This window comes from Homo sapiens, chromosome 4 (assembly GCF_000001405.40).
Source record: "Homo sapiens chromosome 4, GRCh38.p14 Primary Assembly".
Lineage (NCBI taxonomy): Eukaryota > Metazoa > Chordata > Mammalia > Primates > Hominidae > Homo > Homo sapiens.
This window is the reverse complement of record NC_000004.12, coordinates 19,495,318-19,515,835: the sequence shown is the minus strand read 5'-3', so window position 1 is coordinate 19,515,835 and position 20,518 is coordinate 19,495,318. Positions and strand designations below refer to the sequence as shown.

At 36.2% G+C, this 20,518-nt stretch overlaps 1 long non-coding RNA gene across 2 annotated transcripts in view, besides 1 other annotated feature; it reads right to left on the bottom strand.

Annotated features, from left to right (window-relative positions):
- The window catches only part of LOC105374511 (uncharacterized), a 482,145-nt gene that overhangs the window by 421,727 nt on the left and 39,900 nt on the right, over nt 1-20,518 (bottom strand). The gene's annotated exons all lie outside the window — the stretch shown is intronic.
- Nucleotides 12,461-12,630: an enhancer, noted in NCBI's record as "experimental_77374 CRE fragment used in MPRA reporter constructs". NCBI's record gives its function as "activates a minimal promoter by MPRAs in K562 erythroleukemia cells, with activity observed for the introgressed 4:19504914 variant allele {active_cell/tissue: K562}" and the evidence as "EXISTENCE:reporter gene assay evidence [ECO:0000049][PMID:34662402]".

The following is a 20,518-nucleotide window of genomic DNA, read 5'->3' as shown; positions in this document are numbered from 1 at the left end:
TTTTCTTCATTCCAAAGAATAGTTAATAAAGTAAAACAGATGCAGTTTGGAATTGCCTAGAACATATTTTTTAGTGTATGAGTGTGGAGGGTCAGGCATTTAGTAAATACATGACTATAGAGTATGTCAGGTGGTTAACAATGCTATTAGGGATGCTTTTGCATAACATCAGGAAATCTTTTCCATTCATGTGATATTTGTGCAGAGGCCTAAAGAAAGTGAGGGAGAAACTCCTATGCTAAAGCTGTATATGCTATACACATGGAAGAAAGAGCTTACCAGGCAGAAAAGAGCAAAGTGCAAAGTATCAGAAATAAATAATAAATTCTAGAACTTTCGATGTCTTTACTTCAGAAGAGAATTTTATTTTCCTCTCACAGCACATTGATTAGATCCTTTTGAAAAAAAATAAAAATAAAAATTTTAAAAGCCTCTATAAGATACAGATTCCTGCATATATTTAAACTTAAATTACATACTCATTGATATAACGAGTTGATAAACAGTTAACTTAATTACTTGACTGTACACACTTTGAGGCTAGTGACTGGGTTTCCATCAGAAAATAGGTATTGGTCAGGACATTGAGGCTCATGCCTGTAATCCCAATATTTTTGGAGGCTGAGGCAGGAGAATCACTTGAACCCAGGAGTTTGAGACCAACCTGGGCAACATAGCAAGACTCTGTCTCGACAAAATAAATAAAATAAATAAACATATTAGCTAGGCATGGTGGCATGCACCTGTAGTCCCAGCTACTTGGGAAGCTGAGGCAAGAGGATTTCTTGAGCCCAGAAGTTTGAAACTGTACTGAACTCCAGCCTAGGTGACAGAGCAAGACCCTGTCCCAGGAAAACAGCAAAAACAAAAAGAAAGTAGATATTGCTTCATAAAAGAGAGACTCCAAATAAAGTAGCTTCAAGAAGTCAGAGGCATGTTTCTCTTGCTTACAACTGTTATGCCTTTTCTGGCAGCTCCCCAATATCAGAAACCTGGAACCTATCATGTTTCTCCACTACTCTTAGAATATTTCTGTGTTGTCCAGGGTATCTCATTATTACATTAACAATCTAGGCTGCAGAATAGTGGAAGATTAGCCAGGGCAAGAAGGACAATCTCTCCCTATATGGTCATGACCCAGAAGTTGCACATACCACCTCCCCTTATATTTTCCATTAGGCATAACCTAATCACATGACCACTCCAAGCCAAAAGGGAGGCTATGCAGGCATATGTTCTGGTAAAAAAAAAAAAAAAAGCTATTTCCAAGAAAAAGGGAAGGGTAGATATTGAAAGACACCTGGTGGTATCTGCTACACCAAGTAGAAGGAACAAGGAAGTCAGAGGCCTAGAGATACATATGTGAGTCAGCATGCTCAAAGAGAACTTAATTGAGTACCTTGACTAAAAGCATGTAGGATTATGACTGGATGATAAAGCAGAACATTAAAAATGCTGCAAAACATCTGAAGAAACAGCTGAAGGTATTTTTAACTGTGCTGTATTGTATAGTCGAATCACAACTTAAATTGGTATTAGGGAGCATGACTGAAGCTTAAACATTAGTGCCTAAAGTGAGAGTATCACTTTAGAGTGGAAATTATAATTGTCTTTCCTCTGAGTAATGGCACACTGAAGAATCTACAAACCATCTATGAATACTTTCTTTTTTTTTAAACCAGAGTTGTAGTCTATTTCCAAGGGCAGAGTGCAATGGCACGATCTCAGCTCACTGCAACCTCTGCCTCCCGGGTTCAAGTGATTCTCCTGCCTCGGCCTCCTGAGTAGCTAAGATTACAGGTGCACACCACCACGCCCACCTTTTTTTTTGTATTTTTAGTAGAGATTGGGTTTCACCATGTTGGCCAGGCTGGTCTTGAACTCCTGGCCTCAAGTGATCCGCCCACTCGGCCTCCCAAAATGCTGGGATTACAGGCCTGAGCCACCGCGCCCAGCCTATGAATTCTTTCAATAGTCAGTTTTCTTCTTATGTATGAACAGGTTACTGTTTCCTTAGCTGTACCATATGAAGGAGTTGCATACATTGCATATAATAGACAATAGGAAAAAACCCTTGCTTTCTTGACCTTTAAACATTGGGAACCACCTTCAAACCACAGAATAAAACAGAAGCCAACTGAGAGAACGATAGATTCATATAATTTATTAGGGGCATACGTTCATAGAGTGGAGTCTACAAACTTTTTCTGTAAAAGGCTTGATGGTAACTACTTTAGGTCTAGTAGGTTATACGGTCTTTGCTGCAAATACTTGACTTTTGCTGTTGTGGCAGTAGAGTTGCCATAGACATATGGATATAAATGGGCATAGCTGTTTTCCAATAAAACTTTATTGACCTAAGCAGCTGGCTGGAATTGGCCTGAGAGCCCTAGTTGGCTGACCCCTGGTCTAAATTGTTAGCCTAATAACTTTTTATTGGGGTGGGGAGCATATTTTCTTTTTTACTTCCAAAGGTAAATAAGCATGTAATGCTGCTCCCCTTCTTAGCAGACACTCTTAGAGCATATGTAGTGTTTCCTCTCTTGTTAATTATGCAGCACAAAGATTCATGTGACAGAAGCAGAGGAAGGAATGGCCATAGGCGTCAGTTTATAGGAGGCAGATTTGAGCTGAGCCATAAAAAATGTATATAAATTTATCACTATGAGCTTTATACATTTTATATCATTCTATCCTCCAATACTTCTGTGTAGTTTCATAACCACAGAGAAGTTAAAGAAAAATTTTTTTTCTAAAGGTCTTCAAATGAGCAAGAGATGAAGCCACATCAAGGTTTCAACTCAGGTGCCTCTCATTCATCACACTATTAACCTTCTAAATGTGGTGCCTGAGGAGGTCAGGAGTTAAGAAAAAGATTTTCCCTCTTCCGGTATCAGGAGCTCTATACTCCCTGCACAGCAGTCCATCTCATTAATGCCTAGGTCATTTTCAGCAATGTTGTCCTTACTTCCACCTTGTGTGGTCATAAGTCTAATACAGAAATAAAAGATTTCAAGAATTTTTATAGCATTGTGCCAGGGTGATACCAGCAGGTTTTAGAAAGCTTTCCTTCTATAGCATCACAATGCATGATGCCTGCAACAATTCCAAACCTGAACTGGGTCAAACTCATATCAATTTATTCTATGTTTAATGGCTTTCTGAAATGTAAGCACTATAATTTCAAATATTTACCACTGGGCAGAAATAAATGTACATTTTGGCTTTCCATTATTCCCCTATCCATGAACAACAGTAGTGGCTCAATAAGACATTAAAGGATCTCACACTCCATGGCTGCAGTCACCACATAAAAGGCTAGCTTAAACAGCAAACTTTAATTAGAGTTTGGAAAGAGCATTTTTGTTTCAGTAAAATAAAAACACAGGTGGTTTAGTGAGTTCACTCTGAGTATAAACCCCCAAACGCCATTTAAAAAGCAAAGTAGTTAAAGGATTTCATTTTTCTGGTCAGCTCTATCCCAGGTAGAAACAACAACCCTACCATTTTTGAGAACATGGGGTATTCAAGTGCATTTGGCCCTTGGCCAGCTGTTACATGCTTTAATATTCTCTAACAAGAGAAAAGAGCTCTCCATTAAAATGCTAGGCAGTTTTCAAGCATAATATTGCCTATGCCTTTAGTTTTCCATGGCTATCTTAAAATTTTCTCAGGATCATGATATTTTTGGCCCCTGTGCACTGCAAGCTTCCCCACTCCACACTACCACTATTGGAATATTATGCTTCTTTTCAAGATCTCTAGTTAGAGCCTAGTCCTTCATCTTATGTTTCTGGTTCTTTCTATTCTTCATTAATGAAGACTTTTCAAAGCAATAGTTAACTTTGGCATATGCGTCTATATAGAAAATAGTCCCAAACTCCAACCAGTGTCCGATTTGCTGACAATCACTCATCAGCATCATCACCAAATATCTAATTTGGTCTCATTTTGAATGCTGGATGAACAACTTATACATAATGAGTGGAGATCTAGGTTGAAGTAGCAGTCTGCTTATAAGTGACCCAGGATTAAGTCGAGAGCTAACGTTTGTCAATGGCAAGCACTAAGCTGTACACAGGTTTTTAAAGCTGGATTGCTGAGGTTCAAATTAGCTACTTTCTGGCATGGGAATTTATAAAAGCTGCTTAGCTTTCTTGTTGCTCAATGTCCTCATCTGAAAAATGGGAGTGATAGTATAGTATTTACATCAGAGAAGTATTTTGAGGACTAAAGGAGATGATACGTGTGAGACATTTAGAATGAAGGCTGACCTGTCATAAGGGCTACAGTAGCATTAGCTATTACTATTTTGATGGTATGTGCCGAAGGTTAAGAGCTTGTTCTCTATTAAGAACTTAACACACATCATTTCGTTTACTCTTCAATCAAATCTGGGAAGTTGGGTGTTTGAGAAAACAGATCTGAGATTTGTAGCTCAGAGTTTTACAGTGGTAGAATAGAGAAATCAGTCTGACTTCTAAATTCATAACACAATAGCAGAATGAAAGCATTTAAGGGTACTTTTCTCACAGACTAAAATAAAAAAGGGAGGTTGTTTTTCAGAGCACATGCATCTACAAACATTGTAATACATATTTGCATATGTATATACTTTCTAAGCACAAGTAAATTCTTGCAAAAATATGTATATTTAAATATATTATCTCCTCTAAAATCAAGAATACTTTATGCCTTAGTACAGATGGTAACTTGGGTTAGAAGCACATGTCAGTAGCATTGATCTTGCAGTCAGCATCTTCTCATTATCCTTGACCAGTTATATGATTATTTTTGTAAAATTAAAGCTATAGTTTCTTTAATAATGCTTTGTGGTTTCCTCAGAATTATCACTAATATTTCTCAGGTTACTCACTCTTAAATTAAATGTATGGCATATTATGGAGGTCATTTGGTCTTCTTTGTGGCATTTTTATGTTATTTAACTTCCTTTCCAGGTTATTGATCTCTTAGTGCATTTTACTGCATTATCTCTAGCTTTTACACAGCAGTGTTGTAGAACATTTAAGAAGATTTTAAATTATAATAATAGTGTAAGCACAGAGCTTGCATCACCAAAGCATCTGCAGAAGTTTCAACACAGGGAAATAACTGTGAGATTCAAGTAATACCAACAAGGATTGTTAGTATTTCTATTTGCCATATAAATGGCACTTCCTTTTAATAATATTAAAGTACAGTATATAAGTTATCTAAATTGTAATCTTGGAAATTTTGTATTCCTCGATAAATTCTGAAGATCTGGGAGATATCACATACTTTCAAATTGGGCACAACCGATTATAGCTTTATATTACATTATGATATTGTATTTCAAATCCATATAAAATGCTTCCAGACTGCATATGAATATAGCTTATGAGCCCCACTATTCCTGTTGCTCCATATCCCCACCAAGTAACCCTCATGATTCTTCTGCTGTGTTGCTCATTGCATTGATTTCACCTGACTATCATGGCACTTAAGGCCAAACATCCCATTCAGTGAAAAGCATTTAACACTTCCGGCTTCTGAGCATAGATAGCAACTCCAGACCTTCCTTGTGATGACCAGAAGTCTCTCACTCATGTCTTTAGGTGTAGCAGGGAGCTGGTATCTTCCCCTTTTAAAATTAATAGGCGCAGTAAGCCTTTTATCCCTTCAAGCCTATTGATCACCCTACACATTTCCTGTTTTCTGGTATTATGCTCACTCTGATACACTTTGTGTCCAACACAGTGAGGAAAGAAGAAAGTAATAGGGCCAGAAGCAAAAGATAATTATCTAAGAGATGATTTCAGGGACCTGGACAAAAATCAAAAGAGATATCTGAAGAACAGATAAGCCACATGACTAGTAATCAAGAGTTAACTCAAAGTGAGCATTTTCAGCATTCTATTCAGCGTGCTACATGAATTATTTTGTGCTTTTATCATCTCAACAACCTTATGTGGTGAATATAATGAATGCCCCAATTATATGGATCAGGGGATGATTACATAGTGTTCAGTGTTAATCACTGAAGGTTTGCTAATGTAAAAGAGAAAGTGCAAAAACAACTTAAGAAGGAAGGATATGCATTTCAAGAAAGAAAACAAAAGAAGGCCTTACCCTTCAAAAATTCATACATAAAGCGAGATGTCAGAGTATAATGTTGATTTTGAACCTCAAGGAAGTGGATATTAATTTAAAAATTACTTAAATTTCTTAAATATTTTTAGAAAGGAAATAGGCCAGGCATGCTGGCTCATGCCTGTAATCCCAGCACTTTGAGAGACCGAGGCAGGTGGATCACAAGGTCAGGAGTTCAAGACCAGCTTAGCCAAGATGGGGAAACCCTGTCTCTACTAAAACTACAAAAATTAGCTGGGCGTGGTGGCAGGCACCTGTAATCCCAGCTACTCCGGAGGCTGAGGCAGGAAAATAGCTTGAATCTGGGAGGCGAAGTTTGCAGTGAGCTGAGATTGCGCCACTGCACTCCAGCCTGGGTGACAGAGTGAGACTCTGTCTCACAAAAAAAAAAAAAAAAAAAAGGAAACATATGAGGTCAACCAAGAAGTGGGAGAACCAAATGACAGAATGGTGTTCTTATAGCTATGGAGAACTGCTTAAAACACTTTTACTTGGAAAGCAAAAACTCATTCTAGCAGGCTCAGACAGATAGGTCATCTAAAAAATATCCAGTTGATCACTATGATATTCAAAATGTTTGTCAACAGGCTGAAACAATGGGTCAAAACAGACACATAGAAATATATAAAATGCCAACCTTTTGTTGTCATGGGTTTGTTTAAATGTAAACTTTGCCATCTACTGGTTAAGTGATGCTTGCAAGTTACTTAGCATTTAGGCGCCTCAATTTCCTTATCCATAAAATGGGAACAATAGTATCTCCCTTACAAAATCAATATAAAGAGTCCTTTGCTTTGCTTCAGAAATTCAACTAAGTATAGGATGACAAAGTCCTTGTTTGCAACCAGAACACGCAGTTACAATCTTGGGGATTTAATGTAATTTGTGGCTGAAAAAGAAAAGGCAAATTTAGGCTGCATTAGTAGAAGCAAAGTATTCAGGTCACAGGAAGGACTTCTGTATTACTAATAACCAGGGCATGAGATGGGTGACGGTAGCTATCTATGTATAATGATTGTTTTTTAAAGTGTGAATGCAATATCTATTGTGCAGCATATGTGACTCACTCTTTGATTAGAATCTTTGAAACGCATTGGTAATTAATCACCCTCAAGCCCATTGACCTCATATGTTCTTCAGAGGTTGTCTTGAGGCAGCACTTTCAACAGCCACTACAGATTGATTGGACGTGTCAATGCAAAATACGATGCAGTTTTACTTCCAGGAACTGTTAAGTGAAACTATGCAACAATTTTATTTATTGTTATTTGGGTTAGAGATTTATTGTTATTTGGGTTATTTATTATTGTTATTTGGGTTGGACAATTGAATAATAATTATTATGTTATTTTAAATTCTATTATTATGGCTATTCTGCTCTTCAAAGAAAATACTGCATTCAGTAGTCCCACTCTAATCATGGCGTTGCTGAAAACCACTATGATTAAGAGAGCTGATGAAGTTGAGGAAAGTAAGAGTTGAAGAAACTCACAACTAATGGGGAAAAAAATCAATAAAACGAATGTCAAAAGTGAACACACAGACACATGCACATGCACCTACATGTGTGTATTTTCATGATATATTCTCACTAGGTCCCTGTGGTGATAAAACTTAGCTCAACTGATACTTTTTGTAGAATTCTCTTCTCTATGTGGTTCCAAGTGAGAGATGCATACAGAGAGATTTGCAAGATTTTTGGAAAGAGATGAAGGAAGAACCAGTTTGACACTCAGAAGACAGACATAGTGTGATAGGCACCATGACATCTTGCACGTGTCTTCATTAATGTACTGAAACAGTTAGCTGAGTGAGGGAAAGCTGCCTGGCCCACAGCTACCCCCAATCTTACCAGGCTTCTCCCTTCAAATTCTGCAAATCCTGGGCCAGATATGTAATTAGCTCCATGGCAAAAGGTGCCAAATTCTCTTGCAGGTCACCTGCACCATCAGAGTTGGCAATCATGAGATACGGATGTGGGTATCTGTGAAGATGTATGACTTCATAAGTTTCTGATGGTCTTTGCTCTCCTACACTTGAGTTACCCTACCCATCAGATGCCCCAGCTAACTTATGGATCATTCAGGCCCACCCAACACCAAATGCAAAGACAATGCTGTTGCATAGACTTCTTTTTTTTTTTTTTTTTTTTTGAGATAGAGTTTGCTCTTGTTGCCCAGACTGGAGTGCAATGGCTCAATCTTGGCTCACTGCAGCCTCTGCCTCCCGGTTCAAGCGAGCCTCCCAAGTAGCTGAGATTACAAGCATGTGCCACCATGCCCGGCTAATTTTTGTATTTAGTAGAGATGGAGTTTCACTATGTTGACCAGGCTGTTCTCAAACTCCTGGTCTCAAGTGATCCACTCACCTTGGCCTCCTAAAGTGCTGGGATTACAGGCATGAGCCACTGCGCCTGGCCACACAGACTTCTTAACCAGCCCCCATAATTGTGTAAGGTCTAATTCCTAAAAATAAACCCTTATACTTTGTTAGTCACAGAAATTCTGCTTTTCTGATAGATATGATTGCTGTAATAACTCACATTTTAAAGGTAAGATTTACATCTTTTGTTGGCATGGGTTTAAATACAAGCTTTATCATTTAATGGTTGGGTGATCCTTGCATGTTTCTTAGCATTTATAAACCACAGTTTCCTAATCTTTAAAATGGAAACAATAACACCTCTCTTATAAGGTTAATATGAGGATTAAACAAGGTAATATAAATAGCCGATTTATCTTTGTACCAACCTTGCACTATGACCTCAATGAAAGATAATGGTTATTGTCACTTGTGAGTTTATCACTTGTCAGTTTTATGATTTAAATATATCATTTATTTTAGCAAAGCTTAAGTTACACTGTGGCTGTTTCAAAATTAAGAGATAATGTATTAAAATTACCTGGTCTCAAATCTATGTAGAAGAATGAATCCTAATGTAAACTATGGTCATTAAGTGATAATGTTGTATTAACATAGATTTGTCATTTATTACAAATGCACCACTCTGTTGGGGGATGTTGTTAATGAGGGAGGTCATGAACATATAGGGAGAGGGAGTATATGGGATGTCTTACCTTCCTCTCAATTTTGGTGTGAACCTAAAATTCTTCTTTTAAAAAGCTCTTAAAATATAAAAATAAAATAACATTTTTAAAATTGCCTAGCCAAGTCCTTGACCTATTTGGTACTCAATATATTAAATAAAACAATAAGTAAATAATCAATTATATCTTATATATTTTAATCAATAATTTATATACTGTTCATTTAATTTCTATTTATTCTTCCCTTAATAATAATTACATGCTTTCCTTATTCTACAGTTATAATAAGTTGCTTGTAAACAATTGAGCTTTGTTGATGATATTATTTAATTAACAGGCATGATTTTTCTACACTTTGTTGTCCATTCGAAAGTCTAAAGCTCTCTGATGTTGTACTTAAGAATACTGATCTATCACCTTTCGGAACTATTATGGTCTCATAGAAGGACAAAAGCATTATCTGTTCAGTCCCTCTTATTCATACCTGCCCCATATATCCTAGCACATAAGACCATGTAGTTCAAATCTGACTTTACTTTCTCCTACTTCTTTTATTCCTCCATTAGTGATAGCAAAAGCCTCATGCACACTTGGGTGCTGTTTGGCTCCGTCTCCTAGTTGCCATGACCATTTTCCAGGTTTCTTAATTATTCTCATGGGGAAAAGTCCACATCGTAGATATAAGGGAAACAAAATCCTCACATTTATAAAAAAATCCAAAATTATATGTTTTATCCATATGAAGCAAAATTTGTAGTTGAGAAGGTATTACTGTATTATTAATAATGTATTTTAGTGGGAGGTAGGAAGAACACACATGCCTGCAATATTGGACAAGAAATAGGTAATTCTGTATTCTATGATTTAGCCCAACCTATCAATTTTCTTTTAAGCACTGAATATATTAAAAATAATCTTCATGGTCTGCTGTTTTCTGAGATGAATTTTAAAATTCATTAGTAATTTTATACTTTCTTTTTAAAATATTTAAATAAATTCATGGATTCAGGCATGCTCTTATGTCTCAATTTAGGTTTGTCCTTAATGTTTTGCTTTCTCATTTGGCCCATCTATCCACTGGTACCACCATTCTCAGTTCGGTTCTATGCATCCAGTGGTCTGGCTAAAGCCCTTGTGCCTGTGTTTATACTCTAACAGAAGACAGAGGATGATGATGATCATGTCGACTTCTTTTGCTTCCATTGAAAGTCTATTCTTTTTTTAACTATAAATTTCCTGTGGTTTGGTTGAAGTATACTGATAATTTTCAAGATTCTTTTTTATTCTTGGTCTACTCTTGCCCTATGAAATATTTTTTCCAAAACCTTCTCCTATTTCTATCTGCATTCCTCTGTCCTCAGAATGTTATTAGTCTAGACATGGCCTCTCTCTCTTCTTTTCTCTATGTGCCTTCTTTCACTATTCTTGAATTTCTTTTTAACTCTGTCACTCTCCTATAGGCCTCCTCTATGATTTCTCTCTCATGTTTGTGAGAAGTGTAGGGCTATATCTAAGAATGTTGGTTCTTAGATACCTAATGGCTTCCTAACTCAGTCACTCACATCCAATCCACCTATTTTTCTTCTGAAACTTCTCAAGGAACAGCACTGTAGACAAGCAAGGAAAAGAATGGAGCTTCAGAATTATTATTTATCCTTATCTATCCAACATATCTCTATGTGTGCAGAAATGCTATATGCCTTTTTATTAAAAATCTTTACTTCTAACATGTTCCATAACTCTGTTATCAATAATTTAAACAGATTGCTTTATATGAGCAATATTCTTGCCCTCTATATTTAAAAAGTGGGTTCATATGATCTTATATAATTAAGATTACTACAATAACATTTCCTCAGCTCACTATATTATAATTTATTTTAAAAAGTTGTTGTATTTGCTGAGTTGACTTAGGAAGTTGATAACCAATTTGTTTTCAAGAAAAACTATTAGAAATAGGGCAATTCTTTTTACCTATTACTTGAATCTTTAAGAATTTCAATAGATCTCTTAAGCTAGAAGTTTCAAGCTTTAAGAAGTCTGAGAAAACTCTGATCTTTGTCTTCAAAATTTTGATTTTATGTGCAACTATATAGTTTTCAATAAATAAGATCAATAGCATTAATCAAATTCTCCAATAGTCATAGCAATTTTAAGAGTTAACATAGCTAATTAATATGTGCCAGGTATTGTTGAAATGCCAGCATAGATAATTTTATTTAATGGCAAAACTGTGTCTCTACATAGGTATTATTATCCTATCTTTAAAAATAATATTTATTATGCATATTTATATAGATAAGGACATCCCAGCCCAAGGAAGTGAAATCACTTTCCTAATATTAAAAATCTGGTAAGTGTTAGAGCCGGGATTTGACTACAACCTGAACCTAGAGCCCTCAATCGGTAAACATGACTGGGCCCATGTCCCCACAAATATTTTTTTACAATACTGTAAGAAGCAAAAAATAATAATGTTACACTATAAAATGAATGAATATTGTAGTATGTACTGATAATGCTTCTAATTTAAAGTGAAGTATATGAGGCATCACTTATTCATAAAAGAAAACCTGTGTTTTGGTGTGTGCTGCCATGAACCATTTATTTGACCTTGATTATACCAGTTAACCACCATCGTCTTCAATGTGTTAACTCCAAATTAACAGGGTCAATTCAGATCAGTATTTTCCAAACTGTTCCTTAAACCCAAAAACTTTTTGTGCGATAGTTTCAAATGATAAATACATATGTCTATATCAATAATATATTTATTTAATTTTATGTATTAGAAAAATATAACAATCACATCGAATAGGTGACTTCACGGATATTATCTTTTAGCATGAGACTAATACTATTGAATTTAAAAAGAAAAAAGAAAATTTATTTTAAAAATACTACAGTATGGTAAAAATAATGAATGTGATACAGAATTCTAGGTAACAACAAACTAGGCAATTCTAACAGAATAAAGGAGACACAGAAAATGAGTTCCATGGACATATAGAATCTAAAACATGAAGGTATCAATAATTGTTGAATCAAATGAACGAATAAATGTATATCAATTTTATGGCACAGACCTGGAATACCATAAACAGGACTTTTTAAAACAAATTTTTATATTAAACAAAATTCATTCAACAAATTTATTCAACACATATTTATTGAGCCTTTGTTATACGCTCTGTCCATTTCCTAGGTAAAGAAGACACAGTGGTGAACCTGTTAGGCAGGAGATCATAAAACACTGACAACAGCTGTTCCTACACCTTATCTTCAAACACACAACTGTAGCTGTGATGCACCCAGGATTGAGTAACACTTTGAACTTGTTGAAGAACCACTAAGTGGTAACTGTGCTTGTGTGTGTGTTTGTTTGGGAAATGTTGTAATTAATCTCCCAGAAGGCTGGCAACATCATTCAGGTCTCTTACATGCCTCACTATCCATGTAAGATAGATGTGGCCCTACATTCAGATGTTAGTTAGTTATTTAACTGATATCTTTTAAGATTGTTCAATATTTCTTTTCTTTTCTTTTTTTGTCAATGTAAATATCAACAGAATCAGCATAAGATAGTATACAAAGACTACTGACTAAAAGACCTGGTCTAAACCCTGGCTCTGACCCCGCAGCTTTGTTGTGAATATTTAACATGCTGGCTGAGCCTCAGTTTGTCATCTAGGAAATGACACCACACCTCTTTCATCAGGATATCATGAGCCATATAAGATAAAATATAAAATTAAACATTGAAAACAGTACTTGAGTTAGCCTCATTTCAATCCAAACTAGGGCAAAATGAAAATCACAAGTTACCTAAATAGAAAACACAAATCAGGCTAGGCGTGGTGGCTCACGCCTGTAATCCCAAGACTTTGGAAGGCCAAGGCGGTGGATCACGAGGTCGAGAGTTCAAGACCAGCCTGGCCAACATAGGGAAACCCCGTTTCTACTGAAAATACAAAAATTATCCCGGCATGGTGGCGCATGCCTGTAGTCCCAGCTACTCGGGAGACTGAGGCAGGAGAATCATTTGAACCCGGGAGGTGGAGGTTGCAGTGATCTGAGACCGCGCCACTGCACTCCAGCCTGGCGACAGAGTGAGACTCTGTCTAAAAATAATAAATAAATAAAATAAATTAAAAAAAAGAAAACACAAATCAATTCTCTGACTGATTTACAAAAACACTTATTTTTTGATAAACACTATTGGATCATCTTACTGTTAAAGGACAAAGGATGTGGGAAAGACACAGGAAAAAATAGGAATCATAAGTAAAAGAATTATAATAGGTGTGTATTAGTCCATTCTCACACTGATATAAAGAAATACTCGAGACTGGGTAATTTATAAAGGAAAAGAGGTTTAATTGACTCACAGTTCCACATTGCTGGGGAGGCCTCAGGAAACTTATAAGCATGGCAGAAAGGGACTAGCAAACAAATCCTTTTGATATAGCAGCAGGAGAGAGAAGTGCCTAGCTAAGGAGGAAAGCCCCTTATAAAACAAGCAGATCTTGTGAGAACTCACTCACTACCACAAGAATAGCATGAGGGTAACCGCCCCATGATTCAATTACCTCCCACTGGCTCCCTCCCACAATGCATGGAGATTATGGGAACTACAATTCAAGATGAGATTTTGGTGGGGACACAGCCAAACCATATCAAGGTGGAAAACGCTATAACTGATGCATGGAGAAGGCACCAAGAAAATATCAAGGAGGAAACAGTTTCAACTTGCAGAAGAGGAAACTGAGCTTCAGTTTGTGGTGTTTCAAAACAACAGGACCTGGTAGTGAGGAAATTTGTCTCTCTAGCCTTTGCAGTATAGTTTTCTTTATTAGTAAAAAAAAATTATAAATTATTGAGTTCTTATTATTTGCCAGGGACTGGTCCAAGTGTTTTATAAACTTACTATTTTAATCCTTACAACTCTCATGATCACTCAGGGGAAACTAAATTACTAAGAGAGCTTCATCCAAAGGAGGCTTCCTGTAATACGGATTCACCTACACTAATTAGTTATGTGCAAATACAGAAACAATTTTTGCTAAGAATCCCTTAAAAAAGAAAGAAAGAAAATCAGGTAATGTATGGCAGATTTTTGGTTAGAGTTTTCAAATTCTATCTGGATGTAGTTATCATGATTTCTATACTAGAGTAAATAGCTTCCACATTTGCTCATATATATATATATATATATATAATTCATATATATATATATAATTCATATATATATATATAAAATTTATTTAGATGGGTGTCACAACTTTTATATACTTTTTTCAAATATGGCTTACCCCAGTAAGACAGTAACTAGTGATAAAATCTTTGATCAGGTTGAAACTTTCCATGTGGTAAGAATTAGTATCTGTCCAGAAACAATGCCACAACAGTGTCGTTTTTAAGAGCTATCACTGTTCATGAATGCAAAAATTGTCTTGCTGGAAAAAAAGTCACAGTCTCTATATACATGGCTGAGTATATAAGTAAATAAACAACTGTCACAAAAAATGGGGATTGAAATGTAATTTTATAATAGACCAAAATATAAGTATCTGCAGTCTTAACGTGAAAATCAGAGTACTGCCTGGAAACAATGCTATGGAAAGGTAATATTATGAAAAAAACCCTACATATTTATATCTCATAAGAATCATAATGTTAAAACTAATTGAACTCAGTTTATAGTATTGAACTTAGTTGGCATTTGTGTTTTCAATATTACAAAATATGAATAAATGTTTATATTGTGTTTAATTACTGTAACACTTCATTAGCGGTATTTGTGTAACTATTTTTGCAATTTATAAATTACATATATATGCATCTAAAAAAAGAAAACACAAATAAATTCTCTGATTTACAAAAACACTTATTTTTTGATAAACACTATTGGATCATCTTGCTGTTAAAGGACAAAGGATGTGGGAAAGACACAGAAAAAAATAGGAATCATAAGTAAAATAATTATAATAGGTGTGTATTAGTCCATTCTCACACTGATATAAAGAAACACACTGATATAAAGAAATACATATATACGTATATATGTATATATATTCATGTATATGTGTATGTGCATACATATATAATCTTATTTGCTTATAGCAGTCTCATAATATCAAGATTAATATAATTAAAACATTATTGACCATTTTCAAATGAAAAACTGACATTAGGAAAGGATAAGTGGCTTCCCAGGATCACTAGGACAAGTTCATGAAAGTAGAATTTATGGCCCAATAGCTTATAGACTACATGGAAAAATCAAAATGGAATTTCCGATGTTATATCCACATTTGTTCATAGGAGAGAGACAATCTTTATAATCATGAAGGTGTAGGTTTTAGAAATCCAGCCCAACAGTGCTTCTTTCATGGATCTGTATCTATGTGTGGCACTTATGTCATTACCAAATCATTGAGGAAGGAGTATGGCTCCTTTTTCTTCCCTATTCAGACAATTAAAATAGATGACATGTTTCTAAAAAGCAGTAATAATAGTATTAATTGGCTGGGCGCGGTGGCTCACGCCTATAATCTCAGCACTTTGGGAGGCCAAGGCGGGTGGATCACGAGGTCAAAAGATCGAGACAATCCTGGCAAACATGGTGAAACCCCGTCTCCACTAAAAATACAAAAATTATCTGGGTGTGGTGGCCCGTGGCTATAGTCCCAGTTACTCAGGAGGGTGAGGCAAGAGAATCGCTTGAACCCAGGAGGCAGAGGTTGCAGTGAGCCAAGATGCCGCCACTGCACTCCAGCCTGGTGATAGAGCGAGGCTCCATCTCAAACAAAAAAAAAAAAAAGAAAGAAAACAAAATAATGGTAGTAATCAAAAAACAGCAGCAATATTATGGACAACTAATGTTATCAGAAAACTCAAGATGGACTAAGTTATATCTCATATACTACCTTTAATCATTTCAAAACCCTTCTAATTAAGAATTGTTATCATCATTTTTGTTATTATTATTATCATTATTGAGAGAGAAAAATGTAGCTTCAGAAAGTTGGTGTAATATTACTACAGTCATATAGAAAATTAATAATGAAGCTGGAATGAGGCATTCTACTTCATCTCCACATGCCTTTCTCTTATCACAAAATGAACAAAATTTTTCATCATGAAGAAAATACAGTTAGAAAGTATCTGGGTTTCCCACCCCCACCCCCCAAGAAGATACAATTTATGAAAACTGTGCTAGCTGAAAACCACAAACCATATATTTTCTGATTCTATTTAAAAATGTATGAAGAAAAATTACTTCCCTTTCAAAGGAAATGCTGCAAAATATAAGCAGAGGCAGTTCTCCTACAGTGTGAGATTTCATAAAGCAAATAGGATAATTGGAATTTGATTAATAAGAAAACATTATTTGCATTACACAGACTATTACTAGTTCCAGTACAATCAAGATCTGAATCCATGAAAGATGGAAGTAATAATTTAGTTTTTATATGAGGAAAACGGGAACACACAGGTATTTTTGATGTTATTGTTATGTTAGCATGTTAGTATTCCATTTTCTTTTTCTTTTTCTTCTTTATAACTTGAATGTAGTGTCATTTTTGTTTCACTTTTGGTGACTGTGCACAATGCAACAATCAAAACTACAAGGTCAGGTAAAAGAGGATGAAAGAGACTATGACCATCTGGAAGACTGAAGGACAAAGGAAAGAACTTTATTTATTTATTGGATAAATTGTGCTTAATCAAATTATTATTTTTGCATACCATACCAAATACAGTTAAAGATATGATGGATGTCTTTGTTATTTAGAATCTGAAACTCCCTAAGCAATATCCATTTATTCTCCCACAAAATGTATTTTTCACATGCAAGTTTGCCTACAAATGCAGCGATCATGTTATGAAAAAGAAAACTTCACTTAAAAATACAAGTTGCTTAATTTGCAGGCTTATATGTGATTCATTTCTCTTGATGCTGCTTTTTCAATTTTCCATTAATATGTTACTTTAAAATCATTTAAAATATAAAATATAAAGAAATCTAGATGGGCTGAGGTGGGTGGATCACCTGAGGTCAGGAGTTCAACCAACATAGTGAAATCCCGTCTCTACTAAAAGTAGCAAAATTAGCCAAGCATGGTGGCACATGCCTATAATCCCAGCTACTTGGGAGGCTGAGTCAGGAGAATCCCTTTAACCGTGGAGGCAGATGTTGCAGTCATGCAGTCAGCCGAGATCGTGCCATTGCACTCCAGCCTTGGCAAGAGTGAATCTGTGTCTCAAAAAAACCCAGAAATATAGATGGAAAACTCAATTTTGATTTTATGAATCTCATGCAGGCTTTTAGTGTGTTATACAATATTCCTACTAGTCAGCCCCTTCTATAAGCGTTATTCTTCTTGGCTTTTTAATAACTTTAAGAAAAGGAGGTTTAGACTGGGTTTCCAAAATTTCTCTCTAAATCTCAGATGCCATATTCACCTATCATACACACACACACAAAAAAAACACACACACACACATGCACACACACAGGGTGGAGACATAACTTCTATATTAATCAAGGTTTTCCACAGCAAACAAACAAAAAACAAATAGGATCCATAAATGTGTAGAAAGATTTATTGTGAGGATTGTCTCAAATGATTATAGAAGCTGACAGGTCTCAAGGTTTGTAGTCCTCAAACTGGAGGCACAGCAGAGATGATGATGTGGTTCCAGTCTGAGTCTGAAGGCCTGAGAACCTGCAGAGCTGATGATGTCATTCCAGACTGAAGGCTGATAGGCTTGAGACCTAGCAGGAGCTAATATTTGAGTATAAATCCAAGGGCAGGAAAAAGTTAATGTTCTAGCTCAAAGGTAGCCAGGCAGGAGGAGTTCCTGCTTACTCAAGGATAGTCAGTCTTTTTTTTTCTTTTTTTCCTATTCAGGCCATCAAATAGATCAAATAGTTGGATGAGGTCTACTCATATTTGGGAAGTCAAACCCCTTTACTCAGTCTCCTGAAACACTATCACAGACACACCCAGAATAATGTTTTACTGAATGTCTGGGCACTGAATGTGTTATAGTCCATTTTCACACTGCTATAAAGATACTGATGAGTCCAGGCATGGGGCTCACACCTGTAATCCCAGCACTTTAGGAGGCAAAGGTGGGTGGATCACCTGATAGCAGGAGTTCTAGACCAGCCTGACCATTATGGTGAAACCCCATCTCTACTAAAAATATAAAAATTAGCCGAGCATGGTGGCATGTGATTGTAGTCCCAGCTACTGAGAAGGATGAGACAGGAGAATTGCTTGAACCCAGGAGATGGAGGTTGCAGTGAGCTGAGATCACGCCACTGCACTTCAAGCTAGGCAACAAAGCGAGACTCCGTCTCAACAACAACAACAACAACAAAAAGATACTGCCTGAGACTGGGTAATTTATAAAGAAAATATGTTTAATTGACTCATAGCTCCACGTGGCTGGGGAGACCTCAGGAGACTTACAATCATGGTAGAAGGCAAAGGAGAAGCAAGGCACATTTTACATGGCGACAGGAGAGAGAGAGAGCAAGAAGAGGGGAGTGACAGACACTTAAACAACAAGATCTCATGAGCACTCACTGGTTATCACAAGAACAGCATGAGGGAAATAAACCCCATGATCCAATCACCTCTCACCAGGTCACTCCCTCAACATGTGGGGACTACAATTTGAAATAAGATTTGGGTGATGACATAAAGCCAAACCATATCAGCAGGGCTAAGTCAACACATAGAATAAACATGACATCTTCCTTAAAATATTTATTTTAAAAGTATTTTTTTTAAAGTATTTATTTTAAAAGTATTTTTCTAGACTGTTATCTTGGAGAGAAAAATTCACTCTGTTGACACTTTGTCGTCATTAATGACCTACTCTACTCTCATCTCCAGTAATTTATTTGATAGTGTGGTTTGGACAGATACTCTGAATTTGAATCTAGCCTTCACTAGGTAGCAATTGCCACCCTGCTTAACCTCTGTAATTTCAGTTGTTTGTCTGTAACTGACAAACAGTTATGAGGTATCAACCTCATAAACTGCTGTGAGGATTGCAGCCTCCTACTCTCCCCCACCACTACTGTGGCACATAGAAACACTCTTATTCAATTTCCATTCTACCTTTGTTATTTTCCTGGAACTTGTTGGTCTATGTTTTAATGATTTATTGATGTGTAACAAATCACCTGAAAACATAAATGTTTAACTCAACAATGGCGTATCATTTCTCATGACTATGAATCTAGCTAAGATTCAGTTGTGCAGTTTGGCTCTGTGCAATGTTAGTTCAGGTCGCTTATGCAGCTGCATTAAGATGGGGGTTCAGCTGGGGATTGGAATGTACACCACCACCTCACTGATCTATTTGTGAGTTGGTACTGGTTGGATCTGAGATATGTTGATTATGCTGCATGTGGCTATTCTTCCTCCAGAAGTCTAGACTTGGTTCCAGTTTAAAGCATGGAAGCTGGACTCCCAGAAAACTAAGGTGAAACTGTCAGGTCTTTTTAAGCTCTTCCTGGCACTGGCACAGCCTCATGCTGTTGTTAAAAGTAAAGCGCATGACTAGTTTGGATACAAAAGTAAATACACTCCATTTTATGATGGGAAGATTGAAATGCATCTATGGGGAAAACACATTTTTCATAGCCATATTTAAAGGCATTCTTCCATACCATCTTACATACTTGGGCTACATACACTACTGGGCTACCTTAAAGTACCACAAATGGGTGGCTTATAAACAGAAATTTATTATTCAGTTCTGAAGACTCAGTCTAAGACCAAGTTGTTAGTAGGACTGGTTTCTTCCTGGGGTTGTGAGAGAAAACCTACCCTTGCTTCTTGCCTAGCTACTGGGGAGTTTCTGGAAGTCTTTGATGTTCCTTGGCTTGTGGAAGCATCCTCTGATTCTGCCTTCATCTTCACTTGGCATTCTTTCTGCATGTGGAACTGTCTTCAAAGTTATACCTTTTAAAAGTGCACCAGACATATTGGATTGGGGCTTATTGGAATAACCTTTTTTAAACTGAATTATCTCTATAAAGACCCTATTTCCAAATGAGGTCACTTTCTGAGGCAATGAAGCTGAAGATTTTAACAAGAATTTTAGGGGTATACAATTCAACCCATAGCGATATTGTAATTAGCCTGTTACAGTCTATGTCTGCCATTTTTTGCCAATTGTCTTCCACCATAATGCTCTATGGTAGCAGGGGCCTTTGTCTTTTTATTTGTTTATTATGTACCTCAAGTTCTTAGCACAGTACTTGACATTGAGCAAGCATTCAATATATATTTACTGAAAGAAAAACTGAA